The following is a 19,114-nucleotide window of genomic DNA, read 5'->3' as shown; positions in this document are numbered from 1 at the left end:
GAGCTGAGCTTCAAAGCACGCTGACTGCAAAGTGTCTGAGTCCACAAACTGCTGTTTTGGTTTTTGTTGTTGTTGCTTTGGATACACAGGAAGGAGAGAGATGGGCAGTGACTCCCCGGCTTGCCTTGTGGGTCTCTGGACAAGCCGTCTGGGGAGGAACTGAGCCTGCGTGGGCGACGCTGGCACAGGGCAAAGCTTCCTGACCCAGTCTGGACAGGGGCCAGGGCTGGGCTAAACAACCTACCACTCTTTCTCCTCAGTGGAGCATTTCCCGTAAGTGGTGGCAGCCTGCCTGCTGGCTCGCAGACCTGCTAGGGCAGGCAGCCAGCCATTGCTTGGGCTCCTCCTGCAAGAGGCCCCCAGGGCTCCCAAATCGGGTCCTGGGTAATCTAAGTCCCGCTGCCCGCCCCAACCCAACCTCCCTGCGGCGGAGGGCCAGGCATGCTGCAGCGGCTACTCTGGGCTCCCCGCCTCATAGCTTAAATGCGTCCTCCATGTTGACATGCAGGGCAGGGCGTTTTGGGAGGGATGGGGACAGGTGGGCCTGTGCTGAAAGGTGGCGTGTGTGTGTGTGTGTGTGTGTGTGTGTGTGTGTGTGTGTGTGAAAGAGAGAACTAGATTGAGACCAGACCCCTCGGGAGGCAATAATCCAGGTCTCTGTGTCCCCTGAATTGTAAGGTCCTCATCAGGGGACTCTGCAGAGATTCGCTGCCAGGCGTGTGTTCTGAGTCGCTCATCCCTTTGTTCACCCACTCTCTGGCTGGCTTGTGGAATGCCAGCTGTGTACCTGGCCCCATGCTCTATGAACTTAAGAGACGCCTGCCCTTATGGAGACAGTACCCTAGTGGAGGCATGGGGAGGGGAATCTTACTAAACCAATAAGAAAACAAGAGAATTAGAGATCGTAGAAAGTGCTAGAAAGGGAACAAACATGTCAGGCCACAGTCTAGATCCCAGACCCTCAAGAGGGACTGAGAAACTGGGTGGGACATGAGCTGGGCTTCAGGGAAGGCCCCTTGCGGGGAGACCTCATATTTTCAGCCCTGAGAAAATCAGGAGGAGAAGGGCTTTCCTGGCCAGGGAGTCAGCAGGAGCGAAGGCCCTGAGCCAGGAAGAGGCTTGGAAGTTTCTGAAAATCTTGGAGTCTGGCCATTGTGGTCAGAGCATGATGAGTGGTGCAGGGAGAAGTGGGAAAGATCCGCAGTTCCTGACCAAGCAGGGCCCGGCTAGGTCACTTTCTCTAGTAGGGACAAGCTTCAGACCCCCCGGCTGCTAAGGGAGCGACCAGTGTCATGACCTCCCCAGCCCTGCCTCCATGGGAGGGGCCTGCCGACCTCTGGCTGCTCCAACAGGAGGCAGAGGTCCAGGGCCCATCCTGTCCACTGGGGTCACAGCCACTGTCCCCCATCCCGGCTGGCCGCAGAGAAGGCCCTGTTGACCTGACATTTCTGTCTCTTGTCCAGGCCCTTGAGTGACAAGAGGCCTTCTTTGGCCTGTTTGCTGACTTCTCCACGTCCCTGGTGACAGGGTGTGTTGCTGGGGAGGCCAGGCGGGCCACATCAAAACTTGGCTGTCCCTTTTGTTCCCTGGTCTGGAATTTCCCCTCTCTGTGCTTCTGGCATCCTGTCTCTACAAAAAATAAAATTAGCAGGCCGGGTGCGATGGCTTATGCCTGTAATCCCAACATTTTGGGAGCCCGAGACAGGAGGATCACTTGAGGTCAGGAGTTCCAGACCAGCCTGGCTAATGTGGCGAAACCCCATCTCTATTAAAAATACAAAAGTTAGCTGGGCGTGGTGGCGGGCGCCTGTAATCCCAGCTACTCAGGAGGCTGAGGCAGGAAATTGCTTGAACTCAGGAGGCGGATGTTGCAGTGAGCTGAGATGGTGCCATTGCACTCCAGCCTGGGTGACAGAGCAAGACTCTGTCTCAAAATAGATAAATAAATAAATAAAATAAAATAAGCTAGGCAGAGTGGGCATGTGCCTATGGTCCCAACTATACAGGAGGCTGAGGTGGGAGGATCACTTGAGCCCAGGATTTTGAGACCAGCCTGGGCAACATAGTGAGACCCCAACTCAAAAAAAAAAAAAAGGTAAAATTTATTTGCTTTGTCCCCCAGGCTGGAGTGCAGTGGTGTGATCTTGGCTCACTGACGCCTTCACCTCCTGGGTTCAAGCGACTGTCCTGCCTCAGCCTCCAGAGTAGCTGGGATTACAGGTGTGCACCACCACACCTGGCTAATTTTTGTATTTTTTAGTAGAGACGGGGTTTCACCATGTTGGCTAGGCTGGTCTCGAACTCCTGATCTCAAGTGATCTGCCCACCTCGGCCTCCCAAAGTGCTGGGATTACAGGCATGAGCCACAGTGCCTGGACGTTTATTTTAATTTTGACAGGCTTTCGCTATCATCCAGACTGAAGTGCAGTGGTGCAATCACGGCTCATTGTAGCCTTGACCTCCTGGGCTCAAATAATCCTCCCTCCTCAGCTCTTCAGTAGCTGAGACTACAGGCGCACACCACCATGCCGGGCTAATTTTTGTATTTCTTATAGAAACAGGGTTTTGCTATGTTGTCCAGGCTTGTCTCTAACTCCCCAGCTCAAGTGATCCTCCCACCTCAGCCTCGTGAATAGCTGGGACTACAGGCATGCACCACCACGCCAGGCTAATTTTTTTTTTTAATTATTATTTTTGTGTAGAGACAGAGTCTCATTATGTTGCCCAGGCTGTTAATTATAATAATACATTCTCTTTAATCCACTATGTCTAAAAGATTATCATTACAGCATGTAAACAATTAAAACATGATTTCAATATTATTATTTTACATTCTTTTATTCCTACCAAGTCTTTTTTCTTTTCTTTTTTTTTTTTTTGAGACAGAGTCTCACTCTGTTGCCCATGCTGGAGTACAATGGCACGATCTCGGCTCACTGGAACCTCTGCCTCCTGGGTTCAAGCAATTCTCCTGTCTCAGCTTCCCAAGTAGGTGGAACTACACGTGCCCGCCACCACACCTGGCTAATTTTTGTATTTTTAGTAGAGATGGGGTTTCATCATATTGGTCAGGCTGGTATCGAACTCCTGACCTCAGGTGATCCACCTGCCTCGGCCTCCTAAAGTGCTGGGATTACAGGCGTGAGCCACCACGCCCGGCCTTTTATTCCTAACAAGTCTTCAATCTCTGCTGTGTACTTTGCCCTGATAGCCCATCTCCATCCAGCCTTACCCCATTTCAAGGGCTCAGTAATGACTTGTGGTTCCTGGATTAGACAGCACAGCTTTGCATGGGGGCATTTAGTGCACTTTTGACAAGCTCTAGTTTGTTGTTTTTTCACTTGGCTGTATTTATTTGTCTGTAACTAGAAAGTTGGCCTAAAGAGGGTCAGCAATCAGCAGCTTATATCTCTTGCTAAGAGCTGCGTCCATGTCCACACCAGCGTGCTGGGCACAGCTGGTGTCAGGATTTGCACCCAGGTCTGTCTGGGTAGAAATCCAGGGCTATTTCCATGTACCACTCCCTGCGCCTGACAAGGTGGATGGGGCCCTGAAGGCAGCCCACGGGAGGGGACCCTCCTTCTTCCCTTGGCCCTCTGCTCCGCCCTCCTGGGTAACCTGCACTGGCTGCCAGCCTGAAGAAGGACTGGACTAGGTCACCTGAAAGGAGCCTCTGTGAAACAGGCAGCAGTGTGACAGTCACAGGGGCAGCCATACAAACAGGAGGGTGGGAGCCCCCCAACCTCGTGGGCCTGGATGTCCCCTGGCCTGGAGTCATACCGTAACTGAGTAGCTTGGCTTCAAAATGCTTTTTTTTTTTGCTCTGTTCCCCAGGCTGGAGTGCAGTGGCACAATCTCGGCTCACTGCAACCTCCGCCTCCCGGGTTCAAGTGATTCTCCTACCTCAGCCTCCCAAGTAACCGGAATTACAGGCACCCACCACCACGCCCAGCTAATTTTTGTATTTTTAGCAGAGATGGGGTTTCATCATGTTGGCCATGCTGGTCTCAAACTCCTGACCTCAAGTAATCCACCTGGCCTGGGCCTCCCAAAGTGCTGGGATTACAGGCATGAGCCACTGTGCCAGGCCTCAAAACGCATTTTATACTTTTTTCCCTTTTTCTCTTTTCTCCTTAGTCTCAAGATGTAACGTCAAAACAAACTGCAGAAACCTTTTTTTCCCTCCTTAGTCTTTTTTTTTTTGAGACAGAGTCTCGCTCTATTGCCCAGCCTGGAGTGCAGTGGCATGATCTCGGCTCACTGCAACCTCCACCTCCTGGGTTCAAGTGATTCTCCTGACTCAGCCTCCCAAATAGCTGGGATTACAGGTGTGCACCACCATGCCCAGCTAATTTTTTGTATTTTTAGTAGAGACGGGGTTTCATCATACTGGCCAGGCTGGTCTCGAACTCCTGACCTTGTGATCCTCCCCTTCGGCCTCCCTCCTTAGTCTTAAAATATAGCCTTGAACTGTATTTTCAAACTCTGTCTCTCTCCCTTATCCCATGCACATTTATCTGGCTGTATGCTTGTATTAATTATGTGTTCACTTAGAAGTTCCAGGAGCTAACCTTGAAACATATCAGTCTTGGAGACCCAGCTGCAAAATTCCAGAGATTATCTCTAGGTGGTTTGTCAACAACCCGGCCATGGTTGGGATGATGCCAGGCTATGCTTCAGGTGGAGCAAGGCTCGAGATAGCCGCTGGAACAAGACAAACTGGCTTTGTACCCGGCACCACTCCCGTTCTAGGTTCCCTTTTTAAAATATTTTATTTTTTGAGACAGGGTCTAGCTCTGTCGCCCAGGCTGGAGTGTAGTAGCACAAATACACCTTACTGCAGCCTTAACCTCCTGGGCTCAAGTGATCCTCCTGCCTCAGCCTCCAGAGTAGTTGGGAGTACAGGTGTGTGCCACTGTGGCTGGCTAATTTTTTTATTTTTGTAGAGACAGGACCTCGCCATGTTGCCTAGGCTAGACTCGAAGTCCTGGGCTCAAATGATCCTCCCGCCTTGGCCGCCCAAAGTGCTGGAATGACATGTGTGAGCCACCGCTATGCCCAACCTTCCAAGTGCCCTTTTTTTAAGTCCCTCTCCCCAGGCTAAAGTTAGAAATGGTTCCTGTAAACACAAGCCTGGGCCATTTCCCCACCACTAGCCCTGGAATAAAGTCACTTTCCTTTCACTGCATCTCGTCCTTGTTATTGGCTTTGTAAGTGATCAGCAGCCGAGCCTGTGTATGGTTACAATAGGACTGCCAGAAAATAGGGGCCACCCAGATACATTTGAACTGGAAATAACACAAGTGATCTTTTTTTTTTTTTTTTTTTTTGAGACGGAGTCTTGCTCTGTCACCCAGGCTGGAGTGCAGTGGCACAATCTTGGCTTACTGCAACCCCCGCCTCCCTGGTTCAAGTGATTCTCCTGCCTCAGCATCCTGAATAGCTAGGACTACAGGCGCGTGCCACCAAGCTTGGCTAATTTTTTGTATTTTTAGTAGAGATGGGGTTTCACCTTGTTAGCCAGGATAGTCTCAATCTCCTGACCTCGTGATTTGCCCGCCTCAGCCTCCCAAAGTACTGGGATTACAGGCATGAGCCACCATGCCCGGCCACAAGTGATCATTTTTAAGTATAATTATGTCCCAAATATTGCATGGAACATACTTGCACTAAAAAAATTGTCATTTATTTCAAATTCTAATTTAGCTCAGTTTCTGTATTTTTTTCTTTTTTTTTTTTTTTTGAGACAGGGTCTCACTCTGTCGCTCAGGCTGGAGTGCAGTGGGGCAATCTTGGCTCACTGCAACCTCTGTCCCCCAGGTTCAAGCAATTCTCCTGCCTAAGCCTTCCTTGTAGCTGGGATTACAGGTGCACACCACCACGTACAGCTAATTTTTGTATTTTTAATCAGGATGGGGTTTCACCATGTTGGCCAGGCTGGTCTTAAACTCCTGACCTCAAATGAACAGCCTGCCTTGGCCTCCCCCAAAGTGTTGGAATTACAGGCGTGAGCCACCATGCCCTGCCTGAGTTCCCTTATTTTTATTTGCTAGATCTGGCAACCCTACCTGGGGAGAAATGACAGGATCGTCGTCAGATGCCAGGGAGTGGGGTGCAGATCTTAGGGGCCAGTGGGATCGTAGGGAGTGCCACTCATAGGAATGCTGGGCTGAGGGTGATGAGCAGCTGCTGGCTTTGGTGTGACAGGTTTGGGGGCTGCCACTTCCATCCTGCCTGGTGGGGACACGGAGTGCATCTTGGGCCTTTTCAGGCCCCAGATGTAGTCAAACTCTTTCCACTCCCCACTGACCCTCTATGCCAACTGCCCTTTGCTCGCAGCTAAAGAGTCAAACACTCTGCGTGTCTTACAGCCTGCCATGGTCCTGCCAGACTGACGTCTCCTTCCTCCCCTGGCCGAATGTTCTCCTCCAGCCTCTGGGTTCCAGCACCCTGACCTGTGTTTGCCAGAATTCACACCCAAGCCTCTGCCTCCTGGTCCAGGACTCCTGGGGTCACTGGAGAGAAAGACTGTGTGTGTACCTCTGTCCAGGTGCCCTATGTCCCGGGGGCACGCAGTGTGAGGCCAACAGGAGCCACTCAGGAAAGGCCAGCCCTGTTCTGCTGGGAAGACAGATATCCCCAGCAGAGGCCCCTGACACGAGGCTCCTGTCCTGTGTGCTGCTGGCCCATGGGGGCTCCTGACCCGAGACCCCTCTGCTGATGACCTTAAGTCACTGTCAACAAGGCCGCTGTTTCCTGAGCCCCTATTCAGAGAAAGGAATCTGACATGTTTTCTCTGGTCCTTCATCATCCTTGCCAGGTAGGGGGAAAGTATGGCGCCACTTTACAGATGTGGAGACTGAGGCCAGAGAGGTGAAGTCCCCTGCCTAAGGTGACCTGTCCCCTCCCCAACAAAGCCTGCAGACTCCAGATGTTGACCTCCAAGGTCAGCCAGAGGCCAGTGGCTACCTGAGCCTGGACCTCCTTCCCTGGGGTTGTTCTGGCTTCAAGGTCCCAAGCCCAGCTGCAGGGATCGGAGATGGGGTTGCTTCTCACAGGTCTACTCCCCAAATCCTTCAGGGGCCAAGACCAGTGTGGGTAGGGGGAGGGGAGAGGGCCAGTGTTTCCCAAAGGTCGGGCTTCCAAGCCCTCTCTGCGGCTCTTATTAAGGCAGATCTCCAAGCCGCAACCCTGGAGGTTCAGAAAACCTAGAGTGAGATCCTAAAATCTACCCTTTTGTTTGTTTGTTTGTTGTTTTTTTTCCGAGACTGAATCTCACTGTGTGGCCCAGGCTGGAGTGCAGTGGCGCAATCACAGCTCACCACAACCTCCACTTCCCGGGTTCAAGCGATTCTCCTGCCTCAGCCTCCTGAGTAGCTGAGATTACAGGCTTGCGCCACCATGCCCGGCTCATTTTTTGTATTTTTAGTAGAGATGGGGTTTCGCCATATTGGCCAGGCTGATCTCAAACTCCTGACTTCAAGTGATCTACCCACCTCGGCCTCCCAAAGTGCTGGGATTACAGGTGTGAGCCACTGTGCCCGGCCTAAAATCTACCTTTCAACCAGGTGTCTCTGCCGCAGCCAGTTTTAAAACCAAGATGAGTTCTCTGTGCAACCCTCAGGCCCTCTGCCCACCCCTCAGATTCAGGAAGCTGACCCCACAGAGGGCCGTCTGGGCCACGTGTAGAGGGAGGGTGCTTTCTTCCAAGGAGGGAATAATAGGGCTTCATATGTGGCCCCAGCATCTGTATCCTCAGCCCTCTGCCCCATGTGGACAGGTCAGGAGGGATGGAAGTGACCCTGTATTTATAGAGCCACCTCCAGATGGCAGGAGCTGAGGATATTTCTGGAGGAACCTCCAACCCAGTGGCTGAGAATGACAGTTGGTCCTGACTGGGGATTCCACGGGGGTTTTCCCATGACTCCAGGAACCCCAACTCAACAGACACCAACAGCTGGTGATTCTTAGGGTCAGAGAAAAAGCCCCTAAATGTTCTGCAACGGCTTCTTCCCTCCAGCTGCCCTCCTGCCTCCTTCCTCCCAATATCCCCTTCCCAGGCTGCTGGGGCCCCGCTGGGAGTGGGCCTCTCCGTTCACCCTTCTGGGCAGGAAGAGCTCACAGGCCTTTCTAGAAAACCAGGCCTTGGTGGTTTAGATCTTTACAATTCAAAGGGTGGTCCAGGGAGCAGCAGCATCAGCTTCTCCCACGGGCTCTCAGAAATGCAGGATCTCAGCCGGATGTGGTGGCTCACGGCTGTAATTCCAGCCTTTTGGGAGGCTGAAGCAGGCAGATCACTTGAGGTCAGGAGTTCGAGACCAGCCTGGCCAACATGGTGAAACCCTGTCTCTACTAAAAACACAAAAATTAGCCAGGCGTGGTGGTATGTTCCTGTAGTCCCAGCTACTTAAGGGGCTGAGGCACAAGAATCACTTGAACCCAGGAGGTGGAGGTTGCAGTGAGCTGAGATCTAGCCACTGACTCCATCTCAAGAAAGAAAGAAAGGAAGGAAGGAAGGAGAAAAGAAAAGAAAGGAAGGAAAGAAAGGAAGAAAGAATCTCAGCCCCTGCCCAGACCCCCAGACCCCCAGAACGCTGAGTCAGCATCCAGCTTCTAAGCCAACCCCAGGAGATTCATTTGCAGATTGAGGGGTCAGAAGCACTCATTTAAATCACTGGTTCTTTACCTTGCAGCCCAACACCTGGGAGCTTTAAAAGCACTGGTATAGGGTCCCATCCCCAGAGAGCCTGATTTAATTGGTCCATAACACAATCTGGGCAGTGTGTCTTTTAGAAGCTATCCAAATCGCAGCAGAGTTTGGCAAATATATATACATATACATATATATATATATATATATATATATATATATATATATATATATATACATACACACACACATATATACACATTGTATATATATAAATCTTGGTTCCTGAAGATCGCATAGTAGAGGCTGGGTGCAGTGGTTCATGCCTGTAATCCCAGCTCTTTGGGAGGCCAAGGTGGGTGGATCACCTGCGGTCAGGAGTTGGAGACCAGCCTGGCCAACATGGTGAAACCCCCTCTCTACTAAAAATACAAAATACAAAAATTACCCGGGTTGATGTCAGGCGCCTGTAATACCAGCTACCTGGGAGGCTGAGGCAGGAGAATTGCAGGAACCCGGGAGGCAGGGGTTGCAGTGAGCCGAGATCGCACCATTGCACTCCAGCCTGGGTGACAAGAGGGAAACTCCATCTCAAAAAAAAAAAAAAAGAGAAATGGCATAGGAGAAAGCACTTTCCCTCCACACACACCTGGCAGGCCCTTGTGGGGTCAGCTTAGGGAATTGGGGTGGGGGCGGAGGACAGAAAGCCTGGAACCCAGGCCCAGGATCAGAGATGAGACAGCTCCTGCCTCCACCTCCGCCCATGGAGACCAGCAGTGGGGAAAATGTGTCAGGGGCTTGTGGCCCAGGAGCCCTCTTTGGGGTCACCAGGGGCAGGGGACACGTACCTATTGTCCATGGTGGGAGGGCAAAGGGCAGGGTCACTGGCTTTGGCATCTCGATGCTCAGCCCTCTGTCCGTGGGTGGGGGATCAGGACAGGGAGAGGGCACGCAGGAGAGGAGAGTCACTGTGTCCTGGGCCAGGAAAGACCCTCAGGTGACAAGTTTTCTTTCCTGGGAGGTACCCAGGAAGACTTTCACTTCAAGAAACACTACTATTACTGTCAATAATAGTATTAATACTACTAATAACTTTGCGCTTAATAAGTGCCTGGCACGGCGATGCACGCAGATCTCACTGTGGTTCTGAAGCTGTGGCTATAGCAGCGCCACCCCTTAAAAGGCAGGTGAGGCCGGGTGTGGTGGCTCACTCCTGTAATCCCAACACTTTGGGAGGCTGAGGCAGGAGGATGGCTTGAACCTCGGTGTTCAAGACTAGCCGGGGCGACATAGTGAGACCCTCCTCTCTACAAAAATAAAAATTTAGCTAGGTGTGGTGGTGCAGCCTGTGGTCCCAGCTTTTCGGGAGGCTGAGGCGGGAGGACTGCTTGAGCCCTGGAGTTTGAGGCCACAGTGAGCTACGATGGCACCAGTGCTCTCCAGCCTAGGTGCAGAGAATGTTCCCAACAATCTCTGCACGCAAGAAATTCCCAGGAACCTTGTGAAAAGCAGATTCTCAGGCCCGGCCCGGGGGATGTGGAAGGCCTGGAGTGGGGCCCTAGAATCTGCCTTCCCCACCCCACCCCCCAAAAAAGAACACAGCAGGGCCCATCCTAACTGCATTTTGTCGTGGGGGGTGGGGGCGCGGGGAAGGCAGATTCTAGGGCCCCACTCCAGGCCTTCCACATCCCCCGGGCCGGGCCTGAGAATCTGCTTTTCACAAGGTTCCTGGGAATTTCTTGCGCGCAGAGACTGTTGGGAAACACTGACCTTCTCCCAACCCTGAATGCGGCTGCCCACCACTGACATTCATTCACTGCCTTATCATTCGCTACATCCACGTTTATGCGCCGTCCACACCATTCGCTGACGCAGCCGCCCCCCGCCCCCGACTCCCATTCCTCCCACTATCTCTGTCCGCAGTTCCCCAGGCCGTTGCCTCCCTGCCGCCGCTTTCTCTCCTGGGCGCGTCCCCGGCGAGCCGAGCCCCCTCCCCAGCCTGCGACTGCGCCTTAGGCCCCGAGCGCCCCGCCCCACCCGAGAAGCTGCGCTGAGGCTGCCCCACAGGGCGCAGGCCCCGACCCTCAGCGTCCACCGTCTGCTGCCTACATCCGCCCGCCCGGCGTCCGACCCCTTCAGCGGCGACGGGCGGAGCTGGAGCCCCGGGCCTGGGCGCCAGGTGGGCTCCTGGGAGGGTGATGAAGCAGGTAGGGCCTCGGGGATGCTGGGGCTGGAGGCGGGGCGGGACGAGGGGAGCCTGCGGGAGCGCTGGAGAAGCCGGGAGGAGGAGGAGGGATGCGCCGGGGCCTGGGGCTGGGCTGCACCCGGTGGTCGGGAGGGTGGAGAGGGCTTTGCACTGCAGCCGCAGCGGAGGGGCCCCGCCAGCTCGGAGGGTCCACTTGGGAACCCGGTGGGGTGCAAGTGGAGTCCAAGCCCAGGAGGACAGGGCGGGTGGGGTTGGGGTGTGCGCCGTGCTTGGGCCTGCCACCTGCCCTTGCTCTCCTCCCAGGCCCTGGTGGACGATACCGAGGATGTGTCCCTGGACTTTGGAAACGAGGAGGAGCTGGCCTTTAGGAAAGCCAAGATCAGGTGTGTTGGGATGGAGCTTGGGTCAGGCGTTCCCCAAAGCTGCAAATTCATTCATTTACTCACTCATTCATTCAAAATATATTGAGCACCTACTGTGTGCCAGGTCTGGGGCTGGGGACATATCTGTGGACACATCAGACAAAGTCCCTGCCCTCCTGGAGCCTGCATTGGGAGAGGGAGGAAGAAGGGGTGGAGTTGATGTTGAACAGGCAAGGAGATTAATGAGATAATTGAATGTGAGAAGAAAATCAGCCCTGTGATGAAAGAGAAGGTAACTAGAGAAGGCCACTTGCCTTAGTGCAGCCATGGAGGGCCTCTCTGAGGAGGTGGCATTTGAGCTGAGACCAGAATGATGAGAAGCAGCCAGCCATGGGAGACTCCAGAGGGAGAGTGTTCCAAGCTGAAGGAACAGCAAGCGCAAAGGCCCTGGGGCTATGTTGTAAGATCAGAGAAAGCCACTGAGGCCAGAGGGGAGCAAGCTTGGCAGTGGGCTGGACAAGTGGAAGAGAGCTTGGAGTTTTATTCTAATCCCTGCTGAGTCTAGCTAGACAGACTTGTCCTGGGTCAAGTCACTTAACTGCCTGAGACCTCTAGCATCCCAGAAGGTGGCATGACCAAGGCATGAGGGATGACCTGTGAACGTGGTTGCCGATGGCCCAGGCGGCAGCCACTTCTAGAAACACCCACAGCTCAGCCTCACTCACCCACCCAGTTCTGCTTCCAGCTATCAGAGCCAGTAGGCATGGGACGAGCCCTGGCACCCAAATGCCATTCCTTGTAAAGTCTCTGTTTTTAAAATCAAACTCTCTGATTCAAACCTAATAAACCCCAGAAAGTAATAGACTGTATTAGTTTCCTATGGCCGCTAGAACAAATTACCATTATCATCTTGGCTTAAGACAAAAGAAGTTTATTCTCCTGCAGTTCTGGAGGCCAGAAGTCCACAGTCAGTGTTCCTGGGCTGAAACCAAGGTGGCAGCAGTGCCACACTCCCTTCGGAAGAATTAGGGGAAAATCCATTCTTTGCCTTTTCCAGCTTTTGGTGACTGCTGGCATTCTGTGGCTTGTGGCCTGTTCCTCCGTCTTCAAGGCCAGTGTTATAGCATGTTCACATCTCTCTCTGTTCCATGGTCAGGTGACGTGTGTGTGTGTGTGTGTGTGTGTGTGTGTGTGTGTGAAGTTTCCCTGTGCCTCTTTCTTTTTTTTTATTTTATTTATTTTTTATTATTATTGTACTTTAAGTTTTAGGGTACATGTGCACAACGTGAAGGTTCGTTACATATGTATACATGTGCCATGTTGGTGTGCTGCACCCATTAACTCGTCATTTAGCATTAGGTATATCACCTAATGCTATCCCTCCCCACTTCCCCCGTGCCTCTTTCTTATAAGGACTATTGTGTTGGCATTTAGCGTCCACCCAGATAATCTAGGATAACCTTTGCATCTCAAGATCCTTAATTATAGGCTGAGTGCATGGCTCACACCTGTAAGTAATCTCAGCACTTTGGGAGGCCAAGGCGGGCAGATCACTTGAGGTCAGAAGTTTGTGACCAGCCTGGCCAACATGGTGAAACCCTGTTTCTACAAAAAATACAAAAATTAGCTGGGTGTAGTGGCATGCACCTGTAATCTCAGCCACTCAGGAGGCTGGGGAAGGAGAATCACTTGAACCCGGGAGGTAGAGGCTGCAGTGGGCTGAGATCACACCACTACACTCCAGTCTGGGCGACAGAGTGAGACCCTGTCTCAAAAAAAAAAAATTCTTAATTAAATAATTAAATTACATCTGCAAAGTCCCTTTCATCATATATGGTGGCTGTCACAATTTCTGGGGATTAGAACCTGGATTTCTTTTTTTTTTTTTTTTTTTTGAGATAGGGTTTTGCTCTGTTGCCAAGGCTATATAGTGCAGTAGTACAATTATGGCTCACTGGAACCTCAAACTTTTGGGTTCAAGAGTTCCTCCTGCCTCAGCCTCCCTAGTAGCTAGGACTATAGGTGTTGCCACCATGCCAGGCTAATTTTTTAAAAATTTAATTTTGTAGAGATGGGGTCTTGGTATGTTGTCCAGGCTGATCTGGAACTTCCGGCCTCAAGTACTCTTCCCGTGTCAGCCTCTTAAAGCCTTGGGATTACAGGCATGAGCCACTGCACCCATCCAGGACCTGGATATTTTCGGAGGCTATTATTCATCCCACCATAATGGCCAATGATTATCTTTAAGGGAAGACACTGCAAATGAAGATTCCAAAAGAACTGGAATCCTGGGTAAAGAATCTTCTAGAACATCTGAACTCATATGTGTTCAATTTCTATTGAGTATCTACTGTATGCTCAACTCTGGGCTAGTGGCTGGGGAAATGCAGTGTTCAGGACCCCACTCCTGCCTTTACAGATTGCCCAATCTAGGGCAGGTTTGCTTAATGTTAGCACTCCAGACATTTTAGGCCAGATACTTCTTTGCTGTAAGGAGTGTCCTGTGCACCGTGGGATGTTTAGCAGCATTCCTGGCCTCTATTCACCAGATGCCAGTAGCAGCCCATCCATAAAGTCTCAGGCATTGCCAAATATCCTCTGTGGGGCAAACTTGCCCCCGGTTGAAAACCACTGGTTTGCAGGGTGGGAGTAGGCATACCAGTGGCTATTACAACTCAGTATTTTTGTTTTGTTTTGTTTTTGTTTTTGTTTTTGAGATGGAGTCTCACTGTCACCCACGCTGGAGCACAGTGGTGCAATCTCGGCTCACTACAACCTCTGCCTCTTGGGTTCAAGCAGTTCTCCCGCCTCAGTCTCCCAAGTAGCTGGGACTGCAGGTGCACGCCACCACGCTTGGCTGATTTTTATGTTTTTTGTTTTGTTTTGTTTTAGTAGAGATGGAGTTTCGCCATGTTGGCCAGGCTGGTCTCAAACTCCTGATCTCAGCCTCCCTACCTACCTACTTCAGCCTCCCACAGTGCTGAGATTATAGGTGTGAGCCACTGTGCCTGGCCAGAACTCAGTATTTTAAACGCTGGGATAGGCAGAAGCTGGGGCTCCTATCCTGGCCAGAGAAGGAGGTACCAGCTAAGCTGGGACCCACAGGTAGGGTAGGAGTTGGTTAGGCTGGGAAGGGTAGATATACCATGGGGAGGCTTGGAGGTAAGGTCATGAATTTAGGGTGGTTCCATGTGGCTCAAGACCCAGGTGCTGGGAAGTGGCCTGCGTGGAGATCGGGGCCAGACCCTGCAGCACTTAGCAACCAAGCTCCAAGCTCTGGAGGTGCATTGTCCACTGAACCTTCTATGAGGATGGGGCTGTGCCTTTATCTGTGCTGTGCAGCACGGTGGCCTCAGCCACCTGTGGTGATTAAATGTCTGAAATGTGGCCAGGGCGCCTGAGGGACAAATGTTTTGATATTATTTAATTAATTTGAATGTAAATAGCCACATGTGGCTGTGGCATTGGGCAGGGCAGTTCCAGAGTTCGGTCACCATGGAAGGATTTTGCTCAGGGCAGTGATGGAGGCTGGGTTGTTGGGGTGGAAGTAGGATAGGAGATCAGACCAAGGCACTGGCAGGGATGACAGAGGAAAGGGGCCCAGAGGCACAGGGGAGGTAGAATCGGCCCGCCTTGCTGGTGGTCAAGATGTGGGGTAGGGACAGGGATCATCAGGGTGACACTCAGGCTGGTGGTCTGGTGAGTCAGGTGAAGAAGCACTTCTGGGGGAAAGATGTTGAACTCAGAGTGGTCCTTGTTAGTCTGTGTTGGAACATTCTAGTAGCCAGTGGACAGCTGGGAGGAGAGGCCAGGAGCTCGAGAAGTCACCAGGGCTGCAATCAGAGATCTGGGAGGCAGCAGTTCATGTATCCAGGTGGGTATGTTTGAGAGCCACCCATCCCAGAATCCTCGGTGTGCCTAATGCAGATTCCTGGGTCTGGCCCTGGACTTATTTAACCAGATTCACAGGGGATGGGCCTAGGAACATGAATTTAAAATAGCACCCCATTGATTCTGATGTGTAGGAATGTAGAGATGGCTCTAAAATCCTGAGAACAAATGAATTTACCCAGATTGCAGTGTAGAAAGGGAATTTTTTTTTTTTTTTTTTTTTTTTTTTTTTTGAGATGGAGTTTCACTCTTTTTGCCCAGGCTGGAGTGCAGTGGTGCGATCTCGGCTCACTGCAACCTCTGCCTCCCGGGTTCAAGTGATTCTCCTGCCTCAGCCTCCTGAGTAGCTGGGATTACAGGTGCGTGCCACCACGCTGGCTAATTTTGTATTTTTAGTAGAGACAGGGTTTCATCATGTTGGCCAGGCTTGAACTCCTGATCTTGAGTGATCCTAGTGCCTTGGCCTCCCAAAGTGCTGGGATTACAGGCGTGAGCCACCATGCCCGGCCTAGAAAGGGAATTCTTAACTGAGGTCTACAGATGGGCTTCAGGGGTTCAGGAAACCTCTGAAAACTATTATCTAAGTTTCATATGTGTGTTGTTTTAGAAAAAGGATCCAAACTTTATTTATTTATTTGTTTATTTGTTTGTTTATGAGACGGAGTCTTGCTATGTTGTCCATGCTGATCTCAAACTCCTGGACTCAAGCGATCTCTCTGCCTCATCTTCCCAAAGTGCTCCCAAAGGATCCAAACATTAATTGGATTATCAAATGGGCCCATGATCCAAAAAAGTTAAGAATCGCTAGTATAGAGTGAAAACAGTTATTTGTAAATCCCTTGTTGAAATGGATTCCAGGCTGACATCGAAAGGAGGTGATGCTGTGGAAGGGGGCCTGTCACAGGAGTCTGGGACATTGGGTTCATCTCTTCCTTTATCACTTTCTGGCTTTGTGATTTTTGGACAGGTCACCTTACTTTGCTGGGCCTCCATTGGCCAGTCGGTAAAATGGGGATAATTGTATCAGCCTGACTTCACCACGTGGTTATTATACAGTTTATTTACTAAATATTTATTCAACATCTGCCAGGGGCAGGTGCTGGGCTAAGCCCTGGGGATGGAGCTCTGGTCTCTGCTCTTTCTGTCCCTGGTTCCAGGTCAGTGAGGTGCAGTGTTGCGGTGGGGGGCCTGGGAAGTACATCACATCTTGCAGGATCAGTGGAGGGTGTGATTCCACAGCAGAGCTGGGCACACAGAGGAAATGTTAGCCATGCTGTATGTGTTTTTCCCCGGTGGGCAAACTTTTTATTTCTTTTTACTTTTTTTTTCAACTTTAAAAAACTGTGATTAAAAAAAACCCACAGCGTAAAATTCCATCTTAGTCATTTTAAATTATACAGTTTAGTAGTTCAAGTATAGTCACGTTGTGAAACAGAGTGTTTTCATCTTGCAAAACTGAAACTCTGTGCCGTTTAACAACTCTCCTTCCCCCAGCCCCTGGTAAATACCATTCTCCTTTCTGTCTGTATGCATTTGACTACTCTAGGGACCCCATAAAAGGGTCATACAGTATTTGTCCTTTTTTTATTGGCTTACTTCACTTAGCATAACGTCCTCAAGTTTCATCCATGTTACAAAATGTGCCAGAATTTCCTTCCTTTTTAAGGCTGGATAATAGTTCCATGATATGAATAAACTATGTTTTGTTGACCCATTCATCCACTTGGGTACACTTGTACCTCTTGCTGTTGAGAACAGTACTGCAATGAATGTGGGTATGCAAATCTCTTTTTGAGATTCTGCTTTCAATTCTTTTGGCCATATACCCACAAGTGGGATTGCTGGATCCTATGGTAGTTCTATTTTTAATTTTTTGAGGAACTACCATACTGTTTTCCACATCAGTTACACCATTTTACAATCCCATCAACACTGTACAAGGGTCCCAGTTTCTCCGCATCCTTGCCAACATTGTTATTGACTGTGTTTTTGATAGTAACCACCTCATGGGTGTGATAACCATGGTATTTCGTTGTGGTGTAGATTGGCATATCCCTAATGGTTAATGATGCTGCTGAGCATTTTTTCATGTGCTATGTGTCCACTTGTATATCACCTTTGGAGAAATGTCTATTCAAGTCTCTTGCCCGTTTTTTTTAATCAGTTATCGGATTTTTGTTGTTGAGGTCTTTATTCTGTATATTAATATTTTCTCTTATTCTATAGGCTGCCTTTTCATTCTGTTGGTTGTGTCTTCTGATGCACAAAAGTTTTTAGGTTTAATGTAATTCCGTTTGCCTTTTTGTACTTTTTTTTTTTTTTTTTTTTTGAGACGGAGTCTTGCTCTGTCCCCCAGGCTGGAGTGCAGTGGCGTGATCTTGGCTCACTGCAAGCTCCACTTCCCGGGTTCACGCCATTCTCCTGCCTCAGCCTGCCGAGTAGATGGGACTACAGGTGCCAGCCACCATGCCCGGCTAACTTTTTGTATTTTTAGTAGAGACGGGGTTTCACCATGTTAGCCAGGATGGTCTCGATCTCCTGACCTCGTGATCCGCCCGCCTCGGCCTCCTAAAGTGGCCGATTTGTACCTTTTGTTTCCTTTGCTTTTAGTGTCAGTGTATGTGTGTGTGTGTGTGTGTTTAATTTAATATAATATAATTCATGGCCAGGCACTGTGGCTCATGCCTGTAGTTCCAGCACTTTGGGAGGCTGAGTCAGGTGGATTGCTTGAGGCCAGGAGTTTGAGACCAGCCTGAGCAACATGGCAAAACCCCGTTATCTACAGAAAATACAAAAAGTAGCCAGACGTGGTGGCACACACCTGTAGTCCCAGGTACTTGGGAGGCTGAGGTAGGAAGATTGCTTGAGCCTGGGAGGTCAAGGCTGCAGTAAGCCATTATCACACCACTGCACTCTAGCCTGGGTGACAGAGCAAGATCCTGTCTCAAAAAACAAAATAAATAAAAAGAAATATAATTCACATTCCACCAATTTCTTCTTTAAAAGTGTATGATTCAGTTTTGATTTTGATACATTCACAAGGTTGTACATCCATTACTACTATGTAGTTCCAGAAGTTTTTCACTGCGCCAAATGGGAGCCCTGTACCCATCAGACAGTCCCTACCCATCTTCCCTTTCCCCAAGCCCCTGGGAACCACTAGTCTACTTTCTGTTCCTATGAATTTGCCTGTTCCGGACATTTCATGTAAATGAAATCTGGGTTAGTCATGGATCTCCAAAGAAACAAAACCAATAGGATATCTGTAAGTATGGAGAAAGAGATTTATTATGAGGAATTCATTCATGCAATTTTGGAGACTGAGAAGTCCCACGATCTGCCATCCACAAGCAGCAGGCCCAGGAACGCCGGTGGCATAAAACCCATCCTAGCCCGAAGGCCTGGGAACCAGGGGAGCCTACAGTGTCTCATTCTGAATCTGAAAGCCCCAGAACAGAGGGGCCGACGTGTAAGGCCTAGTCTGACTCCAAAGGCCCCAAAACCAGGAGGTATGATGTCTGAGAGGAGATGAGGACGGCTATCCTAGCTCAAGCAGGGAGAGGAAATTCCCTCTTCCTTTCTTTGTTGTCGTATTCAGGCCCTCAAAGGTTTGGATAATGCCCATCCAGATTGGGAAGGGAGGGCCTTCTTTTTTCTTTTCTTTTCTTTTCTTTTTTTTTTTTTTTGAGACAGGGTCTTGCTCTGTCACCCAGGCTGGAATACCATGGTGTGATCTCAACTCACTGCAGCCTCCACCTCCCGGGCTCAATTGATCCTCCTGCCTCAGCCTCCTGAGTAGCTGGGACTACAGGCATGCACCACCACGCCTGCCTAATTTTTCTATTTTTTGTAGAGACGGGATCACTATGTTGCCCAGGCTGGTCTTGAGCTCCAGAGCTCAAGTGATCCTCCCACCTTGGCCTCTCAAAGTGCTGGGATTACAGCCATGAGCCACTGCATGAGGGTGGATCTTCTTTTCTCCGTCCACCAATTCAAATGCTAATT

At 50.4% G+C, this 19,114-nt stretch overlaps 1 protein-coding gene across 13 annotated transcripts in view, besides 3 other annotated features; it reads left to right on the top strand.

Annotated features, from left to right (window-relative positions):
- Positions 327 to 396: a silencer, noted in NCBI's record as "silent region_7194". NCBI's record gives its function as "represses an Ori minimal core promoter by ATAC-STARR-seq in GM12878 lymphoblastoid cells {active_cell/tissue: GM12878}" and the evidence as "EXISTENCE:reporter gene assay evidence [ECO:0000049][PMID:35858748]".
- Positions 7,801 to 8,010: an enhancer, noted in NCBI's record as "active region_10389". NCBI's record gives its function as "activates an Ori minimal core promoter by ATAC-STARR-seq in GM12878 lymphoblastoid cells {active_cell/tissue: GM12878}" and the evidence as "EXISTENCE:reporter gene assay evidence [ECO:0000049][PMID:35858748]".
- Positions 10,548 to 19,114, top strand: part of TVP23A (trans-golgi network vesicle protein 23 homolog A) — a 61,477-nt gene continuing 52,910 nt past the window's right edge. For 11 of the 13 annotated variants that reach the window (NR_134905.2, NR_134906.2, NR_134902.2 and 8 more), the window contains exons 1-2: positions 10,548 to 10,857; positions 11,160 to 11,239. Coding sequence is in view for 3 of the 13 variants with exons in the window: in XM_047434604.1 (XP_047290560.1) it covers positions 10,849 to 10,857; positions 11,160 to 11,239 (89 nt within the window). In the remaining 10 variants the exon portion in view is untranslated. Of the gene's footprint in view, positions 10,858 to 11,155; positions 11,240 to 19,114 lie in introns of those variants that run through there. The other 2 variants (NR_134903.2, XM_017023651.3) reach the window with 2 other exon arrangements.
- Positions 16,131 to 16,180: an enhancer, noted in NCBI's record as "active region_10388". NCBI's record gives its function as "activates an Ori minimal core promoter by ATAC-STARR-seq in GM12878 lymphoblastoid cells {active_cell/tissue: GM12878}" and the evidence as "EXISTENCE:reporter gene assay evidence [ECO:0000049][PMID:35858748]".

This window comes from Homo sapiens, chromosome 16, assembly GCF_000001405.40.
Source record: "Homo sapiens chromosome 16, GRCh38.p14 Primary Assembly".
Classification (NCBI taxonomy): Eukaryota; Metazoa; Chordata; class Mammalia; order Primates; family Hominidae; genus Homo; species Homo sapiens.
This window is presented reverse-complemented; position numbering and strand designations above follow the sequence as displayed.